The 13,021-nt window shown below is 37.1% G+C and overlaps 1 protein-coding gene across 59 annotated transcripts in view; it reads right to left on the bottom strand.

Moving 5' to 3' along the window:
* Positions 1 to 13,021, bottom strand: part of FGGY (FGGY carbohydrate kinase domain containing) — a 466,353-nt gene that overhangs the window by 130,163 nt on the left and 323,169 nt on the right. For all 59 annotated transcript variants that reach the window (XR_007061929.1, NR_103473.2, XR_007061930.1 and 56 more), the window contains one exon: positions 6,519 to 6,580. Coding sequence is in view for 56 of the 59 variants with exons in the window: in XM_011541731.2 (XP_011540033.1) it covers positions 6,519 to 6,580 (62 nt within the window). In the remaining 3 variants the exon portion in view is untranslated. The remainder of the gene's footprint in view (positions 1 to 6,518; positions 6,581 to 13,021) is intronic.

Genomic DNA, 13,021 nt, shown 5'->3' with positions numbered 1-13,021 from the left:
ATTTGTACAGCCTTTAATGGGAAGTTTTAATCTATCTGCGATTCGCGATATAGAGGACTAGTGAATTTTAAGAAATTGATATTTAGTGGGATTATGGGAATTACAAAAGCAAAAGAAGTTTGAGGAATAAATCAGATCAAGAAAAATTAGCTGTCCTCAGAGGAATAACAGAAAAATTCAGGGAAAGTAGGAAAAAAGAAAGGCTGAGGAAAAAAATATGCACTAGCACAACAAAGACAACATTAAGGGCTTTGAAACCAATGCTCTATATCTCCTTATTTATCTACAATTTTCCTTAGAGCATTTATCAATGGCTGGCTATATCTGTATATATGCATATGTGTATATGTATATAGTATGCATATTTGCATGTATGTACTGCATGTTTATATATGTATGTGTGTGTATATTTTTATGAAAGCAAAGACTTTGTTTGCTTGGTTCATTCATGTATCACAAATGCTCAAAAGATACTCATCAGACAGATGGGCCACAGACCCTGGATTTTAAGTTTTGCTTTGCTGCCAACCTTGAATCTAGCACTTGTGGATTATGCCAAAATGTTCTCACTAAACCCTGTTGTCACCAGAACCTAATTCAGAGACACTGTTAGTTAAGAACCTCTAAGAGAATCAAGTTTAGAGGAAAAGAGTCAAAATTTATGATTGACATAAGGTGATCTCTGCTAAAGAGTGAAATATCTGCAAATTTGGCCCCACATGAAGAGAAACTTTGGTTACCAGTTACATGTACGGGCACATCCAGTTCTTGTTTACTTAATTTATAAGCTTGCAAAACACTTCTCTTCAGAGATGGGGCCTAAGAGGATTATTGTAAATCAAGAGTATAAAATACTCAATCTGTTTATCAACACTTGTTTCCACAGTTTCAAACAGGATTTGCTGACCCTAAGCTCTGAGATAGGGGTGACCTGCATTGCTGTTTTCAGAAAGCCCCAAGTCATAGTAAAAGAGACACATGGTTCTTGATTCAGAAGGATTTGTCCACTCTTCCAAACAGCTAACTTCATTTCAAAAACAGCTATGCCTGTTTCTTTCTAAGACCGGAAGCATAAAGGGTCCCATAGTTTTAGAATATTGTACTCATAGATCTAATAAGACACAGATGCACTTTCCTTTGTAAGACAATAAAAGAAAAGTGGAAGGAAACCGAACTAACATTTACTGAATACCTACTAAGTATCTGGGCTGGACATAAAAGAGTCATCAAAATATAGACAGAAATGAAGTCAAGAGCATAGCTGAGATCATCTTGGAAGAGATGGCAAAGAGAGAAGAGGGCCAGGAAGCTAGCTGTGACAAAAATTAATGTTAATGGTCAAGAAAAGGACTATAAACTCAAGAAAAGTGGTTAGGAAGGAGGAATCAGAGATATAGGGAGAAAACAGACAGGGTGACATTCCAGAAAGTCAAGGAAAGAGAATGTTAAAAGGAGGAAAAAGTGATCACTGATGCCCCATGCTGCTGAGAACTAAAGAAAGGGGAATAAAAAACATCCTATGGACTTAGCAAAATAGAGGTCACTGATAACCTTAATATGAAACGTTTCAGGGGGCTGATGGTGACAGAATTCAAACTGCAGTGGGCAAGGAAGGAGTAGGAAGTGGAGAAGTAGAGACCAAGAGTACAGGCGATGCTTTGGAGAAACTCCACTCTAAACAGAAGGAGAAATACAGGAAAGTAGCTGGAAGTGGGTTTGAAGTTATGTGAAAAGAGGTGGGATTTAAATCCAGTTCTGACTCCATCACTGAGTTCTGTAAGTTGCTGCTTCTGAACCACCCGATACTGTTGTTTCTCTGAGTTTGCATGGTAATCCATAAATTCTTTCTTCTTTTTATTATGATTTGCAACAGAAGCTACTCAAATGAAGTTTATCTATAGAAGAAAGTTCTGGAAGTTTAGAGTATGTCATTGCAAAACTAAATATTCAGTAAGTTTGTGTTACACACTAAAATGTTCATATACAGACATTCCTGTGACCTGCTTTCATCCTATTAATGCCTGTAAAATGAAGTAAGTAGGGTATCATTATTGTAATTTATGGATGAAGAATCTAGTAGTCATTGAGACATTCAGGGCAGAACAGGTACAAGAACTCAAGGACTCTAATTCACAGTCCCTGTCCTTGCTGTTCCTCCATGCTTTCCATAAGAAGGCAGGCAAGGTATGAATGACTGACGTATGCTGCTTGAACCCATAGCAACCACCACCAAACTTCCTCCTCTTACAATCATTAGTAGTAATAGTAGTAGTTGATATGGTTTGGCTGTGTCCCTACCAAATCTCATCTTGAATTTTAGTTCCCATAATCCTCATGTGTTGTGGGAGGGACCTGGTTGGAGGTAATTGAATTATGGGTGTGGTTACCCTCATGCTGTTCTTGTGATAGTGACTTCTCATGAGATCTGATGGTTTTATAAGGGGCTTTTCCTCCTTTTGCTCAGCACTTCTCTCTCTTGCCACCATGTGAAGAAGGATGTGTTTGTTTCCCCTTCCACCATGACTGTAAGTTTCCTGATGCCTGCCCAGCCCACAGAACTGTAAGTCAATTAAACCTCTTTCCTTTATAAATTACCCAGTCTCAGGTATTTCTTCACAGCAGTGCAAGAATGGACTAACAGAGTAGTAGTGATCATCATTATTGTCACAATTCAGTTTACAAGGCCCCGTCAAATATATTACCTCTTCTAAACTCAAAATAAATCCTTAGAGGTGTTTCGGGTTGATTCTCCATTACTATCCTATGTTATAATGAAGAAAATGGGTTTCACACAATGATACATGTTGGAGCTGAGATTTGGATTCAGGTCTCCAGACTATAAATTTAGTGCTCTTTTCTTTGGCTTAGTGGTTTATAAATGCTTAAACCCTTTAAGAAAATAATGACCGTTATGGTCCCTTCACAGAAATACATGCAGAATTATGTAATCAGCAGAACAGTACACAATTTAAAGAGGTTCATTGATGATCCGAAATTAGGAATCCCTTTTCTAGGTTATATGGTCTCTATGCCACTAATATGCTAGTTGGTAAGGTTATGTGACATAATCCCTCTCAATGGTAATTGTAATTAATGACTAATTGCAATGGCATTATAACTAAAGACTCCTAGAAGGGAATGCCTATGAAGCTTTTCTTAAACTCCTTGTCAAAATCAGTCCTCCTTTTCTACACAGCCTGATAACACACTACGTATATTTTACTACAGTATTCATTTATTCTGCTCTGTGTAGGTGTGCTGATCCTATTAGAATGTAAGTCACTTAGTAGAATGGAAATGTCTAATATACTAACTACAACAATCATTTATTTATTTATTTATTATTTATTCATTTTTTATTTAAGTTCCAGGGTACATGTACACAATGTACAGGTTTGTTACATATGTATACATGTGCCATGTTGGTTTGCTGCACCCGTTAACTCGTCATTTACATTAGGTATTTCTCCTAATGCTATCCCTCCCCTATCCCCCCATCCCACGACAGGCCTCGGTGTGTGATGTTCCCCAACAGTAATTTTTATCATTACCATTTTTTTAGTTGAACACCTATTACAGCCTGACTCTTAATCATCACTCTGTATCACCCATTATTCTAATTCATTTAATTTTCTCAACAACCTTATGAAATGTTTACTATTATTCCCTTTACAGTGAGGTACTAAGGCACAGAGGTTAAGTAAATAGCCCAGAAACAGAAAGTGAATAAGCGACAAAGCTGAGGCAAAGGCAATTTGGCTTCAGAGTCTATTAGTGGCCACCTTAGACTATCTCTCTTTTGTCCTGTGCTAGCTAGCTACATGGGTTTCTCTGATAATTCTATAAAAATATCTTACTTTACTTAAACAGCCTGACAACTAAGCATTATCAGCATGAAAATCCATTCATTATTTTTTAGACTTTTTATTTCAAAATAATTTTAGATTTACACAAAAGTTACAAAAATAATACACAGAGTTCCCTTTTACTCATCACCTAAGAAATTGCCATAAATAACAATACTATTAATCTCTATTTGAATTTCAACAGTTTTCCTCCACCAATGTCCTTTCTCTGGTCCAGAGTTGAATCCATGATTATATACTGCTTACAGCTGTAGTACCTCCTTAAGTCTCCTCCAATCTAGGACAGTTCTTCAGTATTTAAGTTTCTTAATTTTCCTTTGGAGCAAACTGGCTAATAGCTTTGTGGAATGTCAATCTAGGTTTGTCTGATGCTTCCCATATTTACACTGAGTTTAATCATTTTGGGCAAGAACATGGCAGAAATGATGTTGTATCTTTATCGGTGCCTCATAAAAGGAGATACATGATATCACTACATGTTATTGCTGGTGTTGTTTACTTTCATCACTTGGGTAAGGTGGTGTCTGCCATACTTATATACTACTGGAAAGTTATTATTTTCCTCTTCCTATTACTCAGTATCTTGTACTGAAATCCTCTGGGTTTATGAAAATATCCTGCTTCCCACTTTTACTCACTAATTTTAGCATCCATTAATGATTCTTGCCTACAACATTTATCTCTGTAGTGTTTACCTAATGTTGATTATCTATTTCCATTATTTCTTCTACATTTATTAATTGTAAGGCTACTGTCCTGACAGTGAAGAGGAAGACCTGTCATTTCGTCCTCGTTTATTTCCTTCTTCAGTAGTTTACTTACAAAGTTATTTACTTATGGACTTACTTTACGCTATTACTGTTTATTTTATCCTGAGTAGGCCACTGAGAGATTCTTAAAGTTGGTTCCAATGTACCTTGACAATTCCTTGTTGAGTAACTTTTTTCTTTCTGGCACCATAATTTTACTGCCGCAGCGTAGACTCAGCCATCTTTCTAAGAAGTCCTGATTACTTTTATTGGAGAAATGGGAGAATGGTACTTAGAATACAGTACCTGTGAGCTAGGTACACACATTGCTACTATCGTGTCATTGCTTCCAAGCCATCTCAGCAGAGAGACCTAGGGAGTATATGCATGTATATTCATGCATGAATATACATATCTATATTTACTTATATTTATATCCAGCTGTGTGTGTGTGTGTGTGTGTATATATATATATATATATATATATATATATATATAAAATCATAAGTTGATATTGACACCATGAGGTTCATTCTAACCTTCTCCTTTTCCCATTTGTGAGGAACCTGGCTCTTATTATCCACAATATATTGATTTCTTCACTCAACTGTAGCATACACATAAAGAGTTGTCACTATAGCTAACATATACACCTATGAAAAACAGATTTACCAATTAGAGTATAATATTTATGTATGGTTATTTTTCTCTTTAGCCATATGGCATATAGTCAAAATATTCTTTCCCAAATTTACTTAGGTTCTTTTCTTTTTTCTTTTCCTTTCTTTTCTTTTCCCAACCCCCTTTGTAATACAGTAGGTTCAGTTTTTACTGTGTGCATTTCATTTTGCCCATGCCAACATACACATATATCCTGGTTATCTATCACCTATTTTATCGGGGTATCAGGGACATGAGGCATGACAATAATTCTAAGAGTTATAGTTATATAAAAAGGTATACTCAGAGAAGTGTCATTTCTTCCTACTACCATGGTCCCATTCCCACATTCTTTCCACCCCATTCCTACCCACCCCCTGTAGGTAACTAATCTTATTATTTTCTGGTTTAAACTTCCTGTATTTCTTTTTTTTTTTTGAGACGGAGTCTCACTTTATTGCCCAGGCTGGAGTGCAGTGGCACGATCTCTGCTCACTGCAACCTCCACCTCCCGGGTTTGAGCAATTCTCCTGCCTCAACCTCCCAAGTAACTGGGATTATAGGCATACATCACCATGCCCGGCTAACTTTTGTATTTTTAGTAGAGATGGGGTTTCACCATGTTGGCCAGGCTGGTCTCGATCTCTGAACTCGTGATCTGCCCGCCTCGGCCTCCCAAGGTGCTGGGGTTACAGGAGTGAGCCACCGCACCTGGCCACTTCCTATATTTCTTTTGCAAAAATGAACAGATACACATGTATTTTCCTATGTCTTTCTTTTTACATGAAAGGGAGTATATCGTAAATTTTTTTTGCACTCAGCTTGCTTCAAAATATTCTAGAAATCACTCCATATCAGTTATTATCTTCAGTTTTACAGATGAAGAGACAGGCATAAAGAGGTTAAGTAACTAGCTCAAGGTCCTGTATCTATTAAGGAGTATGGCTGGGATGTGAAACTAAGAAGTTTTGACTCCAGAATCCATGGTCCTTCTTCTACATCAGAGTTTCTTATCTATAGTCCCTGGGTATATTCTTGGGGTATCTCTAGGTTCTCTAAGTTCTCTTACCTCATTTAAAGAATTAATACATCTATCTTCTGGATCATCCAGGTGACTATCTTTCAAGCACTAACAGGCATTTTCATTGTCTGTAGGATCTGAAAATCACCCAACTGCCCAACGTGAATTCTCTCAATACAGTCACACAAGGAAAATTTTAGAGGGAACAGAGACAGCAGTTACCTGGCTGTGGCCTTTACTTGTAGTTCTGGAAAAGCAGCATGGCCTTGTACCATGTGGTCTATCTGAAAAATAAGAGACATGGGTCAATTTTATAGCTTCTTTAATTTATGTATAAGATAGAAAAATTTATATTAAAATGAGTATATGTTTCTTTCAACTCTTTGTCCATACGGGTTCCAAGAACATTAAAATGCCAATGTAGCAAGAGTGCCTCAGCTAAAAGAAATTTAGCTTTGATTTAACCTACTGCTAGCCTCTTAAATACATAAAACAAAGAAGTTTAGAGAGAAGAGTAAACAGAAATGAAATTTCCAAGGCTAAACTGGTAGAAGCAGGTTAGCAACAGGCCCAAGAATGAGAAGGAAGGGTAACTTATGTCAAATGGGGGGGGTCTGAGTGTTAAAAGCACCAACCTTTTCTGGATCACATCATTTCCCCTTCTTGATCTAGGCTGTCATCCCTGGGCAATGTCAAACCTTGAATTACTCACTGTGTCTTACTAATGGAGAAGCTGAATGAAAGAGACTATGATGAGGGTTTTTGAAAAAACCCTCATTAAAAAAATTTTTTGAAACTCTCAGTTAAAAAAAATTGAGATGCCCCAGACCTGTCAGGAGAAACTCTCCTGACTGAACAATCATCACATGGGAAACACAGCTCTCCAAGGACAGAAATGTCTGAGCTCTGCAGATAATCACCTCTCATTTGAAATCCCAGGTCTAGGATCTTATTCCTTAATCCACTTGGTGGCTCTAAACAAAATAGTATGAAATATGTATCAGGGACAGAAATGTTTCTCCATGCATTTACTCTGCTTGCCATAACACACCCAAGCAACACCGTGCTTGAGTTCCTGAACCTCATCTGTATATTTTCTGAATGTTTACTTGAGTTTCTAGGATGCTAAAACAACCATTCTGATAGATTTATTTTCATTCCAACAAGGAAAAGATTTGGTCTTTTGGCTGCACAGGGATAGGCTCTCTGAGCATGTTTCCTGAGAGCTAGGGCTGTGTAAAGAAGATAATTTGTTCAGGAGACACAGAGGCCAGGGTTGGGTTCTGGCTCTGAGTCTCACTAGCTGAGTGACTTTGTGCAAGTCACTAAACTGTTTTGAACTTCCATGGCCTCCTTTTAAACAGGATTTCTAGGAAGTTAAGTGTGTCTGCTTGATATGGTTTGTCTGTGTCCCCACCAAAATCTCATCTTGAATTGTAACTCCCATAAATCTCACATGTTGTGGGAGGGACCCAGTGGGAAACAACTGAATCATGGGCGCAGTTTCCCCCATACTGTTTCGTAGTAGTGAATAAGTCTCATGAGATTTGATGGTTTCATAAGGGGTTTCCTGTTTTACTTGGCTCTCATTCCCTCTTGCCTGCCGCCATGTTAGACATGCCTTTCGCCTTCTGCTATGATTGTGACGCCTCCCCAGCCATGTGGAACTATGGGTCCATTACACCTCTTTTTCTGTATAAATTACCCAGTCTCAGGTATGTCCGTATCAGCAGTATGAAAACGGACTAATACACTACTATAGTGCCAACAGTAGTATAAATGATATCACGTGAAATATACTGACTCATTTCCCATACATCAGTACTAACTTAAGCATTGTACACACATTACTCTATTTCATTTATTCCTTATAGCACTCCTATGGAGAAGATACTATTCTTCATTATGGAGATGAGGAAACTGAGCTCAAAGAGATTGAATATCTTGCCCAAGGTCACAGTAAAGTAACGACAAATCTAGGTCTCAAACTGCAGTCTCTATATTTTAAGACCTTGTTCTTAACCACCACGTCATATTGTCTACTGAACTTCCAGGTATACGTTGTTGAATACCATTGGTGCAGTTTTTGTGGAAATGTTTCAAAATGATATCAAAGACATTGGTCATTTCAATGAAAAAAAAAAACTCATGCAGTTATTGAATATTTATCTCCTTCAGGTTCAACTTTGCATTACTGTGATGAAGCATATCCTCATCACACTTTGGATCCCCTGAGTTTGCAATCCACTGAGAGCATCAAGATAAACTCGCTGGGAACAGTAATGGATAATTAGAGGCATTACTTGATTTGATGCTAATTTTTATGGGAAGTGCTTTAGGAGTTCAGAGAAGAGAGATTTAAATGAGCTTCCAGGAGTGAGCTAGAACCTAGCATGTGTGGTGTAAGCATGAATGCAGTTATTTAGTATTTACTAAATGCCTAATGTGCCTCCAGGAACTGTGCACCTAGGTTCCGGAGATACACTGAAAAATAAGAAATAGTTATGATGCATAGCAGCACAAAGTGAGAGATCAATCATTTGGCAATCATTATACAGTTGGAGTAGGTGAAGCTTCAGCTGAGAGGCCATAAATAGGTAGAGTTTGGAGGAGTAAAGGGCTAGAGGCAAGGCATGACAGAAAGGAGGCTGGTTAGTAGAGACATGAAAATGGAAAGACATATATGATTTGAATGGTAACGGACTGGTTTAGCCTCATGCCTGGCATAACATGGGTGGTTAATAAAAGTTTGTGGAATAAATGTGGGATGAGTGAACCACAGGAAAAACACAGATAGCACCATGTACTTCTCCTTGGTGGCACTTACCACACTTTGCATTTGTATCTATTTGTGTTGTGCATACATTGGTCATAGGATTACTGTAGGTTAAATTACAGAATTAGTAAACTGGTGAAAATAAGGATGAATAAAGAGGGCGAAGGCAGACAGTGTGTCTTGAATGTCATAAGAGTTTATACTTTTATTAGATCAAAGGCCATAAAAATTATTTTGATTTGGAGAGAAAAATGATGAAAAGTTAAGAAAAATTTGGTAATGTATAAAGGACAGGGAGATGACCAGGCATGGAGAATAGGAAATGCAGACAAAGATCACAGGTTGGCAATGGGAATATAAGGCACAGATATTTTCTATCCTTACTCTACTGTAGCATCTATCAAGTTCTTTTACAATCCTTAGTTATATGTCTGTCTCTTACCCTATACTCTGAGCTCTTTCAAAGCAAGAGCATCATTATTTTCCACTCCTCAGTGCCTAGAGCAATGCTGACATCTCTAATGAATGAATGATGAGACACATTTTGATAACAATTAAAAATGCTGATCAAAATACAGCAAATAGTTCTCTGAAGACACTGGAAAGTGGCCAAAACCAGGTAGAAACTGGAGAGGAGTAGACACAAGGAAGGAAAAAACAGTACTTTGTGTGTTTCCTGATTTTATACATTTTTGCCCATGGGTGGACCCCAGTCAGTGGCATGCAAGATAACTAATACTCAGATAGAAATACACAGTCTTTCTGATTAAGAAATGAGAGGTTAGAGTTCAAGGCAACCATAGTAGCTAGGAAGTAAGTTGTGGAGGGGATGTCAGAAAGAGAGAGCCATAGAAAGGGAATGCAACACTGTGCCTATAAATGCTACCCTAATTTCTGGATGATCTCTCAATTACATGTGCATGGGAACACCAGAAGTAGTCCAGCTAAGGCTAAAATAATGCAACAGAGATTTTAGGACATGTTCATCACAGGAGAGTAACAAAACTTGAAGTTTGAGTTCAGCCAAATAAACTGCCTGCTAAACCAAAAAATCAATACTCAAAAGAGAAACAGAAATAATACAGTGTCTCTAGAATATATCAATCACAATGTCCAAAATATGACCCCAAATCATTATACATATTGAGGAACAGGAAAATGTAATCCATACTTAAGAGAAAAGCCACTTAGTGAACACCAAATCTGAGGTGACACAGGCGTTAGAAGATAAGAATTTTAAAGTAGGTATTTTAACAATGCTTAAGGATGTAAAAGAAAAATATTCTCATAGTTATTAAACAGAGAGGAAACAGCAAAGAAACAAACTATTAAAATACAAATGTAATAGTATTGATTAAATACAATATCTGAAATAAATATATAGTAGATGGGCCTAAGAGCTGATTGGAGATGACCAACAAAAGTGTCCTCGTGAGAATGAGACTTAGACTGGGAGACTTAGAGAGAGAGAAAGAGAGAGAGAGAATATGAATGAGAATATATATTGAAAAAATTAACACCCTGAGTCTCTCAGGGGCATGGGAGACAATAGCCAAAGGTACCATATATGTGGAATTGGAGTCACAGTAAGAGGGAAGAGAGCAAGGAGAAGAAACAAACAAAAAAAAATTAAATGCTGAAAATTTCCCAAACTTGGTGAAAGGAATCAACTTACAAATTCAAGAAAGATGAATCCAAAGAAGACCACGCCATACCGTAATAAAAGCCAAAGATTAAGAGAAAATTTGAAAGCAGCCAGAGGAAAAAAATGACATATTATATAAAGGGAAAGAATGACAAAAATAATGGTTGACTTCTTATAAGAAATAATAATGTCAGAATAGAAAATACTAACATTTTAAGGTGCTGATGGAAAAAAAAACCTGTAAATCAAGAATTCTATAGTGAGCAAAAATATCTTTCAAGGCAGCATATAAAATAAATGCATTGAAAAAAAATAGAGAGAATGTCTTTTGCCAGTTGACCTGCACTGTAAGACATGCTAAGACAAGTTCTTTTTTTTTTTTTTTTTTTTTGAGACGGAGGCTAAGACAAGTTCTTTAGGCTTGGGAAAAGATATCACATGGAAACTCAAATTTTCAGAAAGAAAGGAAAAGCAATAAAAATAGTAATTATGTAGGTAAATACAAAAGACTATGGTTTATTTCTCAGAATTTCTTTAAAACATTTATGTATCTTTGACATGGACTAAACTGTGTTCACCTCAAATTCATATATTGAAGCCTCAATCCCAAATGTGACTGTATTTAGAGATATGGCTCTTACGGGGGTAATTAAGGTTAAACAGCTCATGACAGTGGGGCCTTAATCTGATATAACTGGTGTTCTTATAAGAAAAGGAAGGAATACAACCGTTTTCTCTTCATATACACATACTGAGAAAAGGCCATGTGAGGTCACAGAAGGCAGCCATCTACAAGTTAGGAAGAGAGCCCTCACCAGAAACTGCATTTGCCAGCACCTTGATCACAGACTTTTAGCCTCCAAAATTGTAAGGAAATAAATGTCTGTTGTTTAAGCCACCCAACCTGTGGTATTTTGTTATGGTAGTCAAGAGTAGACTAATACATTGTTTAAAGCAAACAATATGACAACTATTTCATTATTGGGTTTATAGCATATGTAGATATCACACACAAACTACAGCGTGAAGAGCTGGGATAGGAGTGGTAAGTAGAACTACACAGTTGAAGGGTATTTATACCTTTCATGAAGTATCATAATATGCATTCAAAGTAGGCTGAAAAGTTTAGGATATTTATTATAATTACTAGAGCAACCATTAAAAAATAATGCAAAAAGATGTGTAGAAAGCCAAGATGCCAATAGATAACTTAAAATTGAATTCTTAAAATTGAAAAATAGTCATTTAATCCAAAAGAAGTCAGGAAGGAAAGACAGAAGTGATCACAGAAAACAAAAAACAAAATGAAAGATGTAAATCAAATCATATTTATCTTTATATAAAGTATCTAAACAACCCAAGTAAAATTCAGAGATCATAAAATTGAAAAGCAAGACCCAACTATATGCTGTGTACAAAAAATATACTTTACATAGACCAGGAGAGGAAAAGTGCCACGGTGATTTGCCCAACAGTGCTAGGAGTGGAAGAAAGAAAAGAAAAGAAAAGAGAAGAAAAAAGAGAGATGGATTGGCAACATATTTTGGAGGTGGAACCCTTAGGACTTACTGATGGATTAGATGTGAGGAGAGAGGGGAAAGGAAGAGTCAAGAATTAATCCTAATTTTTTATTTTATTTTTTGGCTTTAATAAAAATATAAATGATGGTACTCTTTACTAAGATGAAGGAAGATAATGGAGGGTCAACTTTGGGGATCAGTTACTACCATCAGAAAACGTAGTAATTCTTGACTCCTTCCTCCCTCTGACTCCATAACATTGAATCCACCTTCACCCATTAATAGCAATGCTACATTCCTCAAGCCTTGGCCTCTCTCTTTTCTGCACACTTCACACTTAATCCATCAGGGTGTGAAGGTCAAGGTCAAGGTTTGAAGGTGGCTCTACCTTCAAAATATATCCAAAATCTAACCATTCTTTACCAGCTCCATGCCATCATCCTCCTCACTCAGCTGGCTTACTACAATAGCCTCTTTCTGACTTCTGTGCTTCCCTCCCCCTACTTCCACTCCCCAGTTAACAATCAGCAACACAGTAGGCAGCAGTAAGAATGATTCTTTGAAAACCTGTCATATCACATCACTCCTCCGCTCATTATTCTCCAATGGTTTCCATTTCACTGAGAGTAAAAACTATTACTGTGGCCAATAATGTAGACCCTATCACCTCTCTGAACTTGTTCCCTGCAACTGTCATTTTGGTTCACTCTGCCGCATCCATTGTGACCTTGTTGCTATTCCCATAATACCCCAGGCAAGCAACCCTCTCAGAATCTTTACACTG

Source organism: Homo sapiens, chromosome 1, assembly GCF_000001405.40.
Source record: "Homo sapiens chromosome 1, GRCh38.p14 Primary Assembly".
Taxonomy (NCBI): Eukaryota; Metazoa; Chordata; class Mammalia; order Primates; family Hominidae; genus Homo; species Homo sapiens.
Note: the sequence above shows the minus strand (reverse complement) of the source record. Positions and strands in the feature narration are given on the sequence as shown.